Here is a 2,235-nt window from a genome sequence, read left to right as displayed (position 1 = left end):
TAGCCATGTGTAATTATAAAAGTTTACAGACCTGAGATTTATGAATATTCTGTTTGTTTTCTAAGTATAGTTGATTTTCCTTATTTATAAATTTTGTCTTTCTGAACTTGCCTGCTCACTAAAACTTTGTAATCTCGAAATCAATACAGCACTTTTGCAGTCATTTGCAGACACACACACAAAGCTGGAAAAAATATAAATTGCTCAAAGTGCACATTCCCAGCTACAGTGGAACAAGGCCATGCCCTACCTTCTTGTTTCAGCTCTTATACTTTAAACAAGTAGAATTATTGTGGTCCATTGAGTACCATGTGTTTTGCGTGTTTGTGCTTTTTGTTGGTGATTTTGCTGTTTAAAATGGCCTGAAGAACAGAGCTGAAGTGCTGTCTGGGGTCCCTAGTACAAAAGGACTGCAATGTGCCTCACAGAGAAAATCTCTGTGTTAGAGAAGCATTACTCAGGCATGAGTCATGGTGCTGCTGGACATGAGTTCAGTGTGAATGAGTCAAAAATATCTACTCAGAAAGTTTTTCTTAAACAGAAACATGCATAAAACAAGATTATGTATTGACTGGTTGATGAAAATGTTGTGACCAGACATCATAGAATCCTAATCTTGTATTTCCCCTGGGAGCAATAGTTTACAACTTGCTAATTCAGTGTTTATGGTGACTTTATAGAACACAACTATCACAAATACAGAGAATTGAATGTAATTTCAATCTTTATTTCTACTGAAAGATTACCTCAATCAACCCAGGAGCCCGTTGGGTTTTCTCATTGCTTCATTGCTGATGACTGTTCCAATGCTGGGCTAATAACAGGCATTTGATTAACATTAGATTTATACATCAGGTGAGTAAGGAGGAGACTGGCTTCATTAATACCACATAGTCACCATGCAAAAGGTGTCACATTTATTAGGGAAGTGTGACGCTGCCATGGAGAAATAAAATGAATAAAATTCCTGTAGTAAATCATGGCTAAACATAATGTAAAAACAGTCATTGTGGAACAGAAATTATAATTAGTTCTCCAACATCCAGCTCAATGACACTCTAGGAAGGCAATCACATTACTAAAATTGATTTTGACCAATTGTCTGTTCCAGTCATTAAAATGAATGACAACCACAAAACCTAAAATATGCATACACCTCTTGTGTTATTTTTCTGTGGCTGTTGTAACAAATTACTATAATCTGGGTGGATTGTGGAATAATCCCAAATGCCATCAATCAACAGGTTGGTAAAGGAACTATGATATATATGTACACACACACACACACACACACACACACACACACACACCATGGAATACTACTCAGCCATAAAAATGAATAAATTAATGGCATTTGCAGCAACCTAGGTGGGAATGGAGACTATTATTCTAAATGAAGTCACTCAGGAGTGGAAAACTGAACATCATATGTTCTCATTCATAAGTAGGAGCTAAGCTATGAAGATGCAAAGGCATAAGAATGATACAATGGACATTGGGAACTTGTTGGAAAGGGCAGGATGGGGGTGAGGGATAAAAGATTACAAATTGGATTCAGTGGATTGCTCTGGTGATGGGTGAACCAAAATCTCACAAATCACCACTAAAGAATTTATGTAACCAGATACCACCTGTTCCCCCAAAACCTATGGAAATGAAAAAAAAAAAAAAATTTTAAGATAGCAAGAATTTGTTCTCTCAAACTTCTGGAAGCCAGAAGCCCAAAATGAAGGTGTGAGCAGCAACACACCTTCTCTGGAAACTCAAAGAGTGAATCCATTCTTTGCTTCTGGCTTCTGGTGCCTTTTGATGTTCTGTCTTGTGGCCACATCACTCCAACATCTACCTCCATGCTCACATCACCTCCTCTTCTTCTGTCTCTCTTGCCCTTCGTGCATATTTTATTTAAGCCACCCAGTTTATGGCATTTGGTTATAGCATTAGAGGTAGGTTTGCCCAAATAATCCAGGATGACATCCTCATCTCAAGACTTTTAGCTTAATTACATCTACAAAGACCCTAATGCTATAGAAGGTCACATTCATGGTGTCTTAGTTCAGGATCCTATAATAAAATGCCTTAAGCTGGGTGGCTTGAGCAACAAATGTTACTTCCCAAAGTTCTGGAGCCTGGGAAGATGAAGATGCTGGCAGATCTGGTGTCTACTGAGGGCCTCCTTCCTCCTTCCTGGTCTGCAGATGGTGCCATGTCTCTGTACCTTCACATGGAGGAGAG

Source organism: Homo sapiens, chromosome X (assembly GCF_000001405.40).
Source record: "Homo sapiens chromosome X, GRCh38.p14 Primary Assembly".
Lineage (NCBI taxonomy): Eukaryota > Metazoa > Chordata > Mammalia > Primates > Hominidae > Homo > Homo sapiens.
This window is presented reverse-complemented; position numbering follows the sequence as displayed.